Consider the following 13,674-nt stretch of genomic DNA (forward strand, 5'->3'; position numbering starts at 1 on the left):
ACCTGCAGCCCGCCATGCCTGAGCTCCCCCCACCCCCCTGCGCCCCGTGGGCTCCTGTGCGGCCCGAGCCTCCCGACGAGCGCCACCCCCTGCTCCACAGCACCCAGTCCCATCGACCACCCAAGGGCTGAGGAGTGTGGGCGCAGGGCACAGGACTGGCAGGCAGCTCCACCTGCGGCCCTGGTGCGGGATCCACCGGGTGAAGCCAGCTGGGCTCCTGAGTCTGGTGGGGACTTGGAGAACCTTTATGTCTAGCTAGGGGATTGTAAATACACCAATCAGCACTCTGTATCTAGCTCAAGGTTTGTAAACACACCAATCAGCACCCTGTGTCTAACTCAGGGTTTGTGAATGCACCAATCGACACTCTGTATCTAGCTACTCTGGTGGGGACTTGGAGAACCTTTATGTCTAGCTCAGGGATTGTAAACTCACCAATCAGCGCCCTGTCAAAACAGACCACTCGGCTCTCTGTAAAATGGACCAATCAGCAGGATGTGGGTGGGGCCAGATAAGAAAATAAAAGCAGGCTGCCTGAGCCAGCAGTGGCAACCTGCTTGGGTCCCTTTCCACACCGCGGAAGCTTTGTTCTTTTGCTCTTTGCAATAAATCTTGCTGCTGCTCACTCTTTGGGTCCACACTGCCTTTATGAGCTGTAACACCGCGAAGGTCCACAGCTTCACTCCTGAGCCAGCGAGACCACGAACCCCACCAGAAGGAAGAATCTGTGAACACATCCGAACATCAGAAGGAACAAACTCTAGACATGCCGCCTTTAAGAACTGCAACACTCACTGCGAGTGTCCGCGGCTTCATTCTTGAAGTCAGTGAGACGAAGAACCCACCAATTCCAGACACATTTTGGCGACCTAGATGGGACAATCGCCTATCACCGAGTGGTGAGACCATCGCCTATAGCTGAGCGGCGAGACAATCACCTATCGCCAAGCAGTGAGTACCATCGGACCCCTTTCGCTTGCTATTCTGTCCTGTCTTTGCTTAGAGTTCGGGGGCTAAATACTGGGCACCTGTCGGCCAGTTAAAAGTGACTAGCGCGGCTGCCGGACTAAAGACAAGGGTGTCAGGCTTTCTGGGAAAGGGCTTTCTAACAACTCCCGACTCTTCGGTGTTGAGACCATTGGTTTGCCTAGAACCAGCTTTTGCTTTTCCTGTACTTCTGGGCTGAGCCGAGGGTCAACAGAGAGGAAAGCCATGCACCTCCGGGGTCCCGACAACAAGTTGGTTGACCCTGCGACCATGAGCGGAACTCTCAAAGGCATGTCGCCCAAGCGAGACTCGCCCATCTATCCTATCTATCCTGAGCCTTGCCCCCTGGTTCCTAATGCCTGCCAGACAAACTTCCTCTCTCCTCTCTTCTCTGAGTTTAGTCCCGCTTCTAAAAATTGCTACCTGTCTCTGGTGCTTTTCTAGTTTCTCCTATAAGAATGATTTCTAGTATAGACTCCGGACACACTGCCTTTAAGAACTGTAACACTCACCACGAGGGTCCGCGGCTTCATTCTTGAAGTCAGTGAGACCAAGAACCCACCAATTCCGGACACAATGAAATCATAGTGGGTCAAAGTTAGGTTTTCTTAATGTCTTCTGTTACTGTGTGCGATGGCACAACTGGTTGGGCCAGATTACCGATCTGAGTGGTGTCCACTGATCCATCAAGTGCACTGATCTTAGGTTTTACAATAGTGATGTTATCCCCAGGAGCAATTTGGTGAGGTTTAGACTCTTGGAGAGGGAGGCTGCATTATCCCTAAACTGTTATTTCCAATCTCGTAGCTAATTGGTTAGTCCTAGAAAGGCAGACTGGACCCCAGGTAAGAAGTGGGGTCTTTTTGGGAAAGGGCTGTTACCAATTTTGTTTCAGAGTCAAACCTTGAGCTGAATTCCTTCCCAAAGTTAGCTCGGCCTACGCCCAGGAATGAACAAGGACAGCTTAGAGGTTATGAGCAAGATGGAGCCAGTTAGGGCAAATCTTTTTTCAGTGTCTTAGTTATAATTTTGCAATGGTGGTTTCACAACTTTAAATCATGACTATCATAGTTTTCATAAATAATCTAGGTAAACAATTAAAATAAAATAATTAGGTAAATGTAATGGGATAAATACTTGTAGACAAACTGGTCATAATTTAGAATATAAAGTTAAATTAAATAATAGATATTTTACTATTTGGGCATTTTCCAATAAATATATATTGTAGGAAAACATTCTTGCTAAAAAAAAGTGTGTCTTTAAAAAAAAGGTGAACAAGTTTCGTCTAATTCAAAGCTTAAAGGTTATGTGTAAAACAAGGTAAAAGGAACCAGGAAACAAAAAAAGATGCATAGAAAGTTATAAAAATAAAAGAGTTTTTTTAGGTAAAGAAGCTGAAAGAAAAGTAATTTTAGGTAAGAAAGAATCCTGCATGGTAAATATAGTCCTAAAATAAAATAACTGGTTGTTTAAAAAGAATGTTGAGAACAAATTAGAAAGTCTGACCATGTCATGAGCGGTCAGTATAAGTCACAATAAGAGGAGATATATATATATATATACACACACACATATATACATATCTTTTATATCATCAGGTTGTCATATTATTATTGTTTTGGTTTGCTTAGAAATATATATATATATATAAACCTTGGGCACCTGTCAGGACTTCCTGAGGCTGTGTCATGGGCGTGTCCTCAACGTTGGCAAAATAAACTTTCTGAATTAACTGAGACATGTCTTAAATTTTGGGAGTTCACAAGGGAAACAAGGGTAAGAATTAAACTTCACTAATATTTCTCACCCTCCAAAGCCACTTCAACCACTGCCTTTCTCATTTCGGTTAATAGCAACTCCAATCTTCCAGCAGTTTAGGCTGCAAAACCTTAGCTCCTCTCTGTCTTACACTTCACATCCAATCTGTCACCTATTCAAAGTATCCCCCAAATCGAGCAATTTCTCACCATCTCTTACTAATACACCTCAGGTCCAAACCACCAGTATACCTCCCTAGAGTACTCCAATAGTCTCCTAAGTAGCTTTCTTGCTTCTATCTCCCTTCAGTTTATTCTTAACAAAGCAGCCTGAGTGGCCCTTTAAAAATATAAATCCAATCAGGTAATTCCTCTGCTCATTGCCTTACAATGGGCCATATTTTGATATGGACAGGAGACAGGGAAATACTGGATAGAAGAGGGCAGTTCCCTGGCAAAGGCCCCACCCTCAAGCTTGGAGACCCATGGCCTTAAATGGGAACAGCCATTTCTGTTTTCGCACCCCAAAAGTTGCCTTTTATCCTGCCATGCTCCCCTATCCTGTACCCATATAAACCCCAAACCTCGGGCTCCAGAAGCAGATGAGCAGATGAGGAGACGCCTCTATTCCGTGTCGTTTAGAATGAGCAAACAGTTGTCTTCACCATCCCAGACAAGCAGATGAATGGTGAAACGATACAGCAGAGAAAGAGAGAAGAGGAACATTTGAACGCCGAGAGGAGTTCAGCCGAGGGTGGTCGGAGAGGTTTGGCCACCCAGCAGGAAGATTATCTTCCCGTGCCATCCCCGCTTCCAGCTCTGCATCCATCCTTCAGAGAACCACCTCCACCACTCAATAAAACCCTGCATTCAACCTTCAAGCCCATGTGTGGCCTGATTCTTCCAGGATGCTGGGCAAGAGCTTGGGATACAAAAAGTGGTCACATTGGCCCTCTGCCCTTGTGAAAAGGCAGAGTGTCCATTGAGCTGATTAAATTCAAGCCATCCATGGACAGCAGGGCTAAAAGGGCACACTGTAACACACCCCCACTTAGGCTCCTGCACCTGTCCATCTGCATGCTCCCCTCCCCTCAGGGGTTTGAGCGTGTAGCAACAGAACAGGCGAGCCACACCCTGTAAAGCCCTGGGGCAACTGAAGGTGTTTTTTTGCTGCAAGGCCCCAGGACTGAAGTCTGTTGGCTAAAACCCCCAGATTTTGCTTGATGTCTTCTCTTCTCTCACAGTTTGAAATGGCTCTCATCTCTTCCTTTATGATGTTACGGGTTTTGGTTCAGGCTGTGCAATATTAAATAGAATGAGCATTTGGCTCAGCCATCAAAAGTGCAATTCAGGCCGGGTGTGGTGGCTCACACCTGTAATCCCAGCACTTTGGGAGGCCGAGGCAGGCAGATCACGAGGTCAAGACATCGAGACCAGCCTGGCCACCATGGTGAAACCCTGTCTCTTCTAAAAGTACAAAAATTAGGTGGGTGTGGTGGCACGTACCTGTAGTCCCAGCTACTCAGGAGGCTGAGGCAGGAGAATCGCTTGAACCTGGGAGGTGGAGGTTGCAGTGAACCGAGATTTCACCACTGCACTCCAGCCTGGTGACACAGTGAAACTCCATCTCAAAAAAAAAAGAAAAAGGAAAAAAGAAAAAAAAAGTGCAATTCAGAACAATGTGATTTCTGTTTATTCTTAGAAGTATCATCACCACCCCCACCCCAACAGTCTCAGGTGCACATGGCACCTCCTTTTCTTACCCCCCAACTCCTAGCTCGGGCACCTGGGCATATCCACAGCATGCAAAAGCCACACCCAATGGCCACAAGGGGCAGGAGAAAACTGCAGCTGCCACCAGGACCCTGCGCAGCCGGCTGGCTGGTGCTTCCCGCCTGCAGCATCAGTGGAACTTTTCTTCTCCTGGCCAAGGAGTTCAGCTCAGTTCAAACTGGGGGAAGGACCCATTAGCAGTGAGCAAGGGCTTCTTCCCTCAGGACCTCCCCGTTTTGACCCTTTAACTGTTTTCTCTTTTCTCCTTTTCTAGATTAGAGGGTTCCTATCCCCCTGATAACTGCAAATTCATCAGGGCTCATTTGAGGTTTAATCTAAACAGATACATGCAACCCTCTAAAATACTTTTTAGTCTCAAACTTGACTCCAAGCTTGAGGCTGAGGCCATAGAAAGAAAAACCAAATCTGAGGGGTCCAAAGCCAGGCAACAGGCACAATGTAAATGGGCAGGACCAATTCCTGCTGACTAAACCCCCCACCTCATGGAAGGAGGCCATGCTCCATGGAATAAATGAAGCCCAGGGAACCCAAGGGTTGCTGGCAGTAGGAAAAATGGAGGCAAAGTTAAGGGCAAATAATTCCTATTCTCTAGGCCTTCCCTGCTTCATGGGTGCATGCCGGATCAGTAACCATGGGTGGCGACTGCCAAGGTTGCCGAGACTCAGGGACAAAAAGATGGAAGAAAAAGAAAGGACACTTGCTTCCTCTCTCCATCACACCCCAAGTTTTCGCTGCAGTAAGGAAGGGAAATGAGGGACACCTCTATTCCCTGTCTTTCATAATGGGCAACCAGTTCTCTTCACCACTGCCAGCCTATACTCCTCTGGGGTGTATCCTGAACCACTGGGACTGCTTTGACCCTCAGAATTCGGAGGAAAAATGCCTCATAGCCCTGTGCACAAAGGTTTGTCCAAATTATGAAGGACTATGATGGCCTCAGGAATGAACCATTCATTTTGATACCATCTGGCAGTTGGACCATTTCCGTAGACATGAGTACTGATGGTCTGAGACCTCATATATGCAGGCTTTCTACACCTTGCAAGGCAATCCAGACTTTTGCTGACAGTGTAAGATTGGTCCAGGCCTGCTGTTTGCCATCTCAGGAAAGGCTGCAAGGGGCAAGCCGAGAGAACTAAAGATACAAATCCTAGAGCAGGGGAGCCAGCTCCCTCCAGCCCTGCTCCTCTGGGTCCACCCAACCTCCCTATCCAGCTTCAGCTTCTCACTTGCTCCCTCCTAGAAATCCTCACCCTAGACAAGCCCCAGTCTCAATCTTGCCCCTCCAACAGATGCCTGTTGAATCTGACCTCAGTAAGGTTCAGGTCCCCTTCTCTCTACTGGACTTAAAGCAAATTAAGGGGGGATCTTGGCAAGTTTTCAGATAACCCTGGCAGATATATAGAGGCTTTCCAGAATTTCACCCAAGTATTTGAATTCTCCTGGAGAGACGTTACTTTACTTTTGAATCAGGCCCTAATGGACACTGAGAAGCAGGCCACTCTGCAAGCAGCAGAGAGATCTGGGGATGAGCTTTGTATCATATATAGTGTCAGAAAGGGGATGAACATTATCCAACTGGAAGAGAAGCAGTACCAATGGATGACACTGGATGGGATCCCAATGATGAAATGGGAGACTAGAAGAAGAGGCACTTTCAGGTGTGTATAATGGAGGGCTTGTAAGACTAGGAGCAAGCCTCTCAATTATACTAAGTAATCCATGATTGACCAGAGATTTGATGAAAATCCCACTGCCTTCCTGGAAAGGCTAAGAGAGGCCTTGGTAAAGCACACCTCTCTATCTCCTGATTCTGTTGAGGGACAACTAATCCTAAGGGATAAATTTATTATCCAGGCAGCTCCTGATATCAGGAAGAAGTTGCAGAAATGGGCCCTGGGACCAGATAGTACTTTGGAGACCCTTGGTAGATAGTACTTTAGTAGCCACCCTGGTCTCTTATGATAGAGATATGGAGGCCCAGGAGAGACAGAGGAATTACTGGAAAGATACAGAGGCTTCAATAGCCACCATGCAAGCCCACAAACCCCAGAATTCCCAGGGTGCACCTGTTAACTGCTACAGATGTGGCAAGCCAGGGCATTTCAAGAAGGATTACCCAGGCAGCACGAGGAAGCCACCTCAACCCTGTCCAATCTGCAATGGGGACCATTGGAGGGTGGACTGTCCCTGGGGATGCTGGTCACCAGGTTCAGAACCAATCTACATGATCCAGCAGCAGGACTGATGGGTCCTGGGTCTCCTTTCCCTGGCTCCAGTGGTCCAGACCATCATTACCATCCAGGAGCCCCAGGTAATTCTGGAAATTGAAGGGAGGAAATTTTTGGACACCAGGGCTGGTCTCTTGAGTTCTCCCCTCCAGTCCTGGGCCCTTCTGCTCTCTTAGCACAATCATGAAGTGTGTCTCAGGGAGGACTTTAACCCGATATTATCCCCAACCCCTTAGTTGTAGCTGGGGAGACATTTTGTTCACCCATGCTTTTCTAATTATGCCTGAAAGCCAAACTCCTCTGTTGGGCAGGGATATTCTGGCCTGTATAGGGACCACCATCCTGATGGCCCCTGGGCAAACTCGTTGTCTCCCCCTAGTGGAGACTGATATTAACTCAGAAGTTTGGGCAACTTGAAGGAAGATTGGCTGAGCCACACCTGACATATTGGTCTGGGTTCATCTTAAAGATCCCACCTCCTTTCCTAACCAGAAACAATATTCCCTGAAACCAGAAGTTAGGAAAGGACTAGAAGCCATCATTGATGACTTGAAGATGTAGAGCCTCCTCAAACCCTGCAACAGCTCTTGTAATACCCCAATATTGGGGGTACAAAAACCCAACAAGGATGAAGACTAGTTCAGGACCTCCACCTTGTTAATGAGGCTGTGGTTCCAATACATCCAGTGGTTACCAATCCATATACCCCACTAATTCAAATACCTGAGGGGACTAAATGGTTCACAGTTCTGGAACTAAAGGATACCTTCTTCTGCACACCTTTACACACTGACTCCTAGTGTTTGTTTGCATTTAAGGATCCCTCTAACCAAACCACCCAGAACACTGTTACCTCAGGGGTTCCGAGACAGCCCCACCTTGTTTGGCCAGGCATTATTGAGAGACCTCTCTGAATTCCTTTATCCTCAGGTTAAAGTTTTACAATACATGGATGACCTTCTCTGCGCTCCAACTGAGGAAATCTCTTAGGAGGGCAGTAAGGCCCTTCTTAACTTTCTGACTAACAGAGGATATAAGGTTTCAAAATCTAATGCTCAGGTATCTCAGACTTCAGTGAAATACCTAGGTCTGGCTTTGTCAGAGAGGGCCAGGGCATTGGACAAAGAGAGGATTAAGCCCATCTCCTCCTTTCCCTTCCCTAAAACCCTCAAGAAACTGAGGGAATTCTTACACATTACAGGATTCTGCAGACCATGGATACCTGGGTACAGTGAAATAGCTTGTCCCTATTTCACCTAATAAAGGAGACTCAGACAGCTAAATCTCACTGTCTAATTTGGGAACCAGAGGCTAAAAAGGCCTTTGACCAACTAAAACAAGCCTTGCTTAAGGCACCAGCCCTAAGTCTCCCCATAGGGAAAACATTTAAGCTTTATGTATCAGAGAAAAGTAATGGCACTGGGAGTTCTAACACAGACCTGGAGTTCAGCCCAGCAGCATGTAGGCTACCTGAGTAAGGAGCTTGATTTGGTAGCCACATGATGGCTAGCCTGACTCTGGGCATTCACAGCAATAGCCTTGCTGGTACCAGAGGCTAATAAGTTAACCACGGGGAATAACTTAACCGTTTATATCCCACATAATGTGGCAGGACTACTGTCTTCTAAGGGGAGTCTCTGGCTAACAGAAAACCACCTCCTCAGATACCAAGCTCTGTTATTAGAAAGTTCTGCAGTCCTTCTAATTAAGAACCTGTCCCTAAATCCAGCCACCTTCCTCCAAGAGGAATCCAGGGAACTTGAACATGACTGCTAGCAAATAGTAGTACAAACCTATGCAGCCAGAGAGAACCTCAAGGAAACCCCCTTAGATAACCCAGACTGGATTCCGTTTATGGACGGAAGTTTTTTTTGTAGAAAAAGGAACTCACAGAGCAGGGTATGCAATAGTTACTCTGAATGATGTTGTTGAGAGTGCACCTCTCTCCTTGGGCACAAATGGTCAGCTAGTTGAACTAATCACCCTCACGAGGGTGCTCGAATTAAGCAAAGGAAAAACGTTAACTTTTATATTGATTCTAAGTATGCTTTCCTGGTCCTCGATGCCCATACCACTATCTGGAAAGAGGAACTTCCTCATAGCTAATGGGTCTCCTATTAAATATAATCAGAAAATTAATAGACTATTATCCTCAGTTTTCCTCCCACAGGAAGTGGCAATAATACATTGTAAAGACTGCCAAAGAGGGACAGATGAAATAGTTGAGGGAAATAGGCTGGCAGACCAAGCAGTTTAATCAGCAGCAAGTGGGCCCCAGGTCTCTGACCCATTTGAAGTCCCACTGATCTGGGAGTGCCCCGTGATAGAAATAAAACCTCAATATTCTCTTGTGGAAATAGAATGGGCCACCTCTTAGGGATACATCCTGCAGTCCTCAGGATGGCTATAATCAGAGGATAGTAAGCTTCATCCACCAGCTGCCAACCCATGGAAAGTTCTTAAAAGCCTTCACCAGGCCTTCCACCTAGGTAAGGATAAAACCTATCAACTGGCCCAGAGATTATTCTCAGGTAAAAACCTGATACAAATGGTTCAACAGGTCATTAATACTTGCAAGACCTGCCTTGAAAACAATCCCCTTAATTGACAGCTTATTCTCCCAGGAACCCAAAGGATAGGAGGCTACCCAGGGGAAAACTGGCAAATGGATTCACCCATATGCCAAAGGAAAGGTACATGCAGTACCTCCTATTATGAATAGATACTTTCACTAACTGGGTAGAAACATTTCCATGTCAGACAAAGAAAGCCTCTGAGGTAATAAAATTACTGATCAGTGAGATAATTCCTTGTTTTGGACTTCCTAAATACCTCCAGAGCAATGATAGCCCCTCATTCAAGGCAGCTGTCACTCAGGGGGGTCTCAAAAGCACTAGGTATACAGTACCATCTTCATTGTGCCTGGAGACCACAATCCTCAGGAAAGATAGAAAAGACAAATGATATTATCAAAAGGTACCTCGGGAAACTGTCTCAGGAGACTCATCTCCCCTGGCCTACCCTTTTCCCCATAGCCCCTGTTAAGTATTAGAAATACTCCTTCAAAGCTAAGTTTCAGTCCCTTTGAAATGATGTATGGTTGGTCTTTTCTCACCAATGATTTCTTGTTAGACCAAGTAACCTCTGATTTAATTAGGCACATAATATATTTGGTCCATTTCCAATAGGAACTGAAACAACTGTCGGAGGCCCAGTTCTGTGTACCAGGGCCACCTCTATGCAACCCAGGGGACCTAGTGCTAGTAAAGGTACTTCCGTCCCTTTCTCCTTCTATAGGCCCAGGTTAGGAGGGACTCTACATTGTACTTCTTTCTACTCCTACGGCAGTGAAGGTCACTGGAATAGACTCTTGGATTCATTGCACCCGAGTAAAGGCCTGGGAAGCCAGTGGAGTCACCTCTGTTGACCCAGGAGGGCACTCAAAGTACCAATGTGAAGAGATCGGGGGCCTCAAGCTAAAAATCACAAAAGATAAATGGCAATAACTAACCTTCCATGGATATCCTCCTTACAGTCTTGTCTATGCCTGCTGTTCTTACCCTTGTTCTGTTCCATACTATGGGGCACAATAGTGTTTTCAGAATAAATAGTATATCTTACTTCTTATTTCTGTAATCTTTGGCACTAGATTCTTTCCTTGTATAATACACATGTTTAATCCATGCACACTTAACCTTATAAAACTTGTTTTTTTCTCTCTCTCATCTAGAGGTCATCAAACTCCAAATGGTCAGGCAACTGGAGCATCAGACAATGGCTCCCTTTTGCTGGGGACCCTTAGACCTCTGGGAGAAATCTGACTGCCTTTTTCCCCAAACAACACCCCCTGTCAGCAGGAAGTAGCTAAGATTGGTCATGGTCCATATTCTAATGGCAGTTAGATGTGCCTCTTCAGAGTGGGGATGATATGGACAGGAGACAGGAAGAGGGCAGTTCCCTGGCAAAGGCCTCACCCTCAAGCCTGGAGACCTGTGGCCCTAAGTGGGAACAGGCATTTCTGTTTTTGTGCCCAAAAAGTTGCCTTTTGGCCCGCCATGGCTCCCTATTCTGTACCCATATAAACCCTGAACCCCAGGCTCCAGAAGCAGATGAGTAGACAAGGAGACGAGACAAGCAGATGAATGGCAGAATGATGCAGCAGAAAAAGAGAGAAGAGGAACGTTTGAATGCCAGGAGGAGTTCGGCTGGGGGCAGTCAGAGAGGAGTTCAGCTGCTGGGCGGCCAAACTTCAGGGGAAGATAATTTCCCACTCCATCCCCTTTCCAGCTCCCCAGCCATCCTGGTGAGAGCCACCTCCACCACTGAATAAAACCCCACATTCATCCTTCAAGCCCATATGTGACCTGATAGTTCCAGGACGCTGGGCAAGAACTTGGGAAACAGAAAGCTGTCATGCTGGCCCTCTGCCCTTGCAAAAAGGCAAAGGGTCCATTGAGCCAGCTAACACTGAAACCATCTGCAGATGGCAGTGCTAAAAGGGCACACTGTAACACATGCCCACTTGGCCTCCTGCACTTGTCTGTCTGTGTGCTCTGCCTCCCCTCAAGGGTTTGAGCAGCAGTGGCGACTGAACAGGTGAGCCACACTCCTGTCACACATCTGCGAGGGGGATCAGGAAACTCTATTTCTATTTCATACAGAATAAAAGCTATAGTTCTTTCTACAGCTTTCAAAGCTCCTTAGGGATCTCACCTCCCATTATGTGTTTTCTCTTATCTCCTACTCCTCTCTCTTGCTCACATTACTCCAGCTAGTCTTTCCTTCCTGCTGCTCCTTGTGCATACCAGTCATGTTTACACCTTAAGGCCCTTGCACTAACTCTTTCTCTTGCCTAGAATCCTCTTCCCTCAAATATCTTCATGACTACCTACTTCCCCTTCTTCAGGTCTACATTTAACTCAAATGTCACCCTCTCAATGAAGTCTACTCTATTTTGTATTCTCTGCCCTACCCCTCACTCAGGGTCCCCAGTGTTTAGTTTCCTGTCTCTCCACCCTCATAGTTATCCTTTTCTCCATTGTGATAGTCATCTTCTGATTTACTGAAAATTTCTCTTAGTTATCAGGTTTATAATTGATCTGTCTCTCCTTACTAAAATGGAAGCTCTCCAAGGGCAGGAATCTGTTGTTTTTGTTTGTTAATATATCCCCAGTGCACAGAACAGTGTTTGGAACAAGTAGGTGCCTAATAAATATTTGTTGAATATAAGTATTGTGAGATACCTTGAAACTGGCTATGTGACCTAGGAAAATAAGAGCAGCAACAATAATGATACTAATAATAAATGATACCATTTTGAAGGCACTTTCTATATGTTAAGTGCTTATTGAGCTTAATTCATTTTGAGAAATGAAAGTAAAATTCTCAGCCCCCCAACCAACAGAACTGACCCCCACCTTGGCCAAGGGGACCCCAGAGAAACCTTGGAAGCTGAGTTCTGGGCAATGATAGGATGTGAGGTCTGTAATGCCTCATTATAATCCCTCCCTGGCTCACTGCCATTAAGTTTTCTTTCCTAAAGGATAAGCAGACACCAGCCTTTTCCAAAGACCATCACTGCTTTCAACCAACTGCCTGACGCTGTCCCTCCGTTTAGTGGTTTTGACACAACCGACCAGCCTTCCTTCCTGATAAGAGACAACCAACTATGGAGTGGTTCTTGCCCATCTAGGGATGATGCACTGAGGGTTTTTGTGTTCTCTGCTTCACCTTTTGATGTCACAGAGCTGAAAACTTTACCCTCAGATCATGCTAATGCCACCAGTTTTTGAACATCGGTCCCATGGAGAAACAAGAAGCTCAAGTATATGTTTCTCCTTTCATAAATACTCATGACTTCTCCTATAGTTTATTGAATACTTATGCTTGGCCACCCCATTCAGCATCAATCCCTGTCTTATTCTTCTGACCCTCAAAGTGTTGGTTGCTGGCTTCTGGCCTATCAGAATGGCCACCCTGCCAGCTGCAACTCTTTATGAGAAATAAAGCTCTCCTTTCCAAATTTTTGAACCTCATCATTCATTAGTTGACAATTCAATTCTTACAACCCCAAGTGCAAGGCAACTAAAGCAGAAGAAATGTAAGATTCCTATCCAGGGTCACATAGCTGGTTAGAGGAAGAGCCATGCTTTGGTTCCAAAGCCATGTCCTTAACTAACGTGCTGTGTGGTAAAGAGGATTATCCTTTCTGCACCGCAGGCATTTTCTCCTTTATTACAAGTTGTTGTGCCAGATTATTTTTAGAGATCCTTTCAGATCCACACATAATATATCACTCTGTTTCACCATTTTACCCACTTCACCAATAAATTGCAGACAAAATTACCAGATAATGACCTGATTGAACTAGGAACTAGTTGTTCTGTGGACCTCACATTGTAGATCCTTCACAATGTTCCACTCCTTTTTCCAAATGCAAATGACACAAGTATGTATGAGAAAACTTTTTTTTTCCCTTTGGCATGATGATAAAATTACAACCATTTCCGCCTATCCATGGTCCTAGTATTCTTAAGGATAAGCAAACAGTCATTTTATTCTTCAAAGAAAACAGAACAATTTTAAACAGACTGGTTAATCAAAACTAGACAAAGCCCCAACTCCTGCAGTTAGGAGTAGATCAGGACTTCTGTGGGAAAGAGACCAGGGGAATCTGGCACAGCTTAGAGATATTCAACAAGCAAAAAATACTGGGATGGAATAAAGTGGCAGGATGGATAAAAGAAATTGTATTGGGAAAAAAAACTATGTTTTACTTTCTTTGTTCCCTAACTATGAGCTATTCCTACTTCACTATATATGTGAATGATGGTTCTAAAGAGGGAATCAGATCATTCATGTATTCAACATTCAGCAAATATTTGAGACTTCCTGTGCCCCTA

General features: G+C 45.6%; 1 long non-coding RNA gene across 1 annotated transcript in view; it reads left to right on the forward strand.

Moving 5' to 3' along the window:
- Positions 1-547: 547 nt before the first annotated feature.
- TM4SF18-AS1 (TM4SF18 antisense RNA 1) overlaps positions 548-13,674 on the forward strand; it is a 48,974-nt gene continuing 35,847 nt past the window's right edge. The window contains exon 1 of the long non-coding RNA NR_186251.1: positions 548-951. This is a non-coding gene — a long non-coding RNA (TM4SF18 antisense RNA 1). The remainder of the gene's footprint in view (positions 952-13,674) is intronic.

The sequence above is a fragment of the Homo sapiens genome, chromosome 3 (genome assembly GCF_000001405.40).
Source record: "Homo sapiens chromosome 3, GRCh38.p14 Primary Assembly".
NCBI lineage: Eukaryota > Metazoa > Chordata > Mammalia > Primates > Hominidae > Homo > Homo sapiens.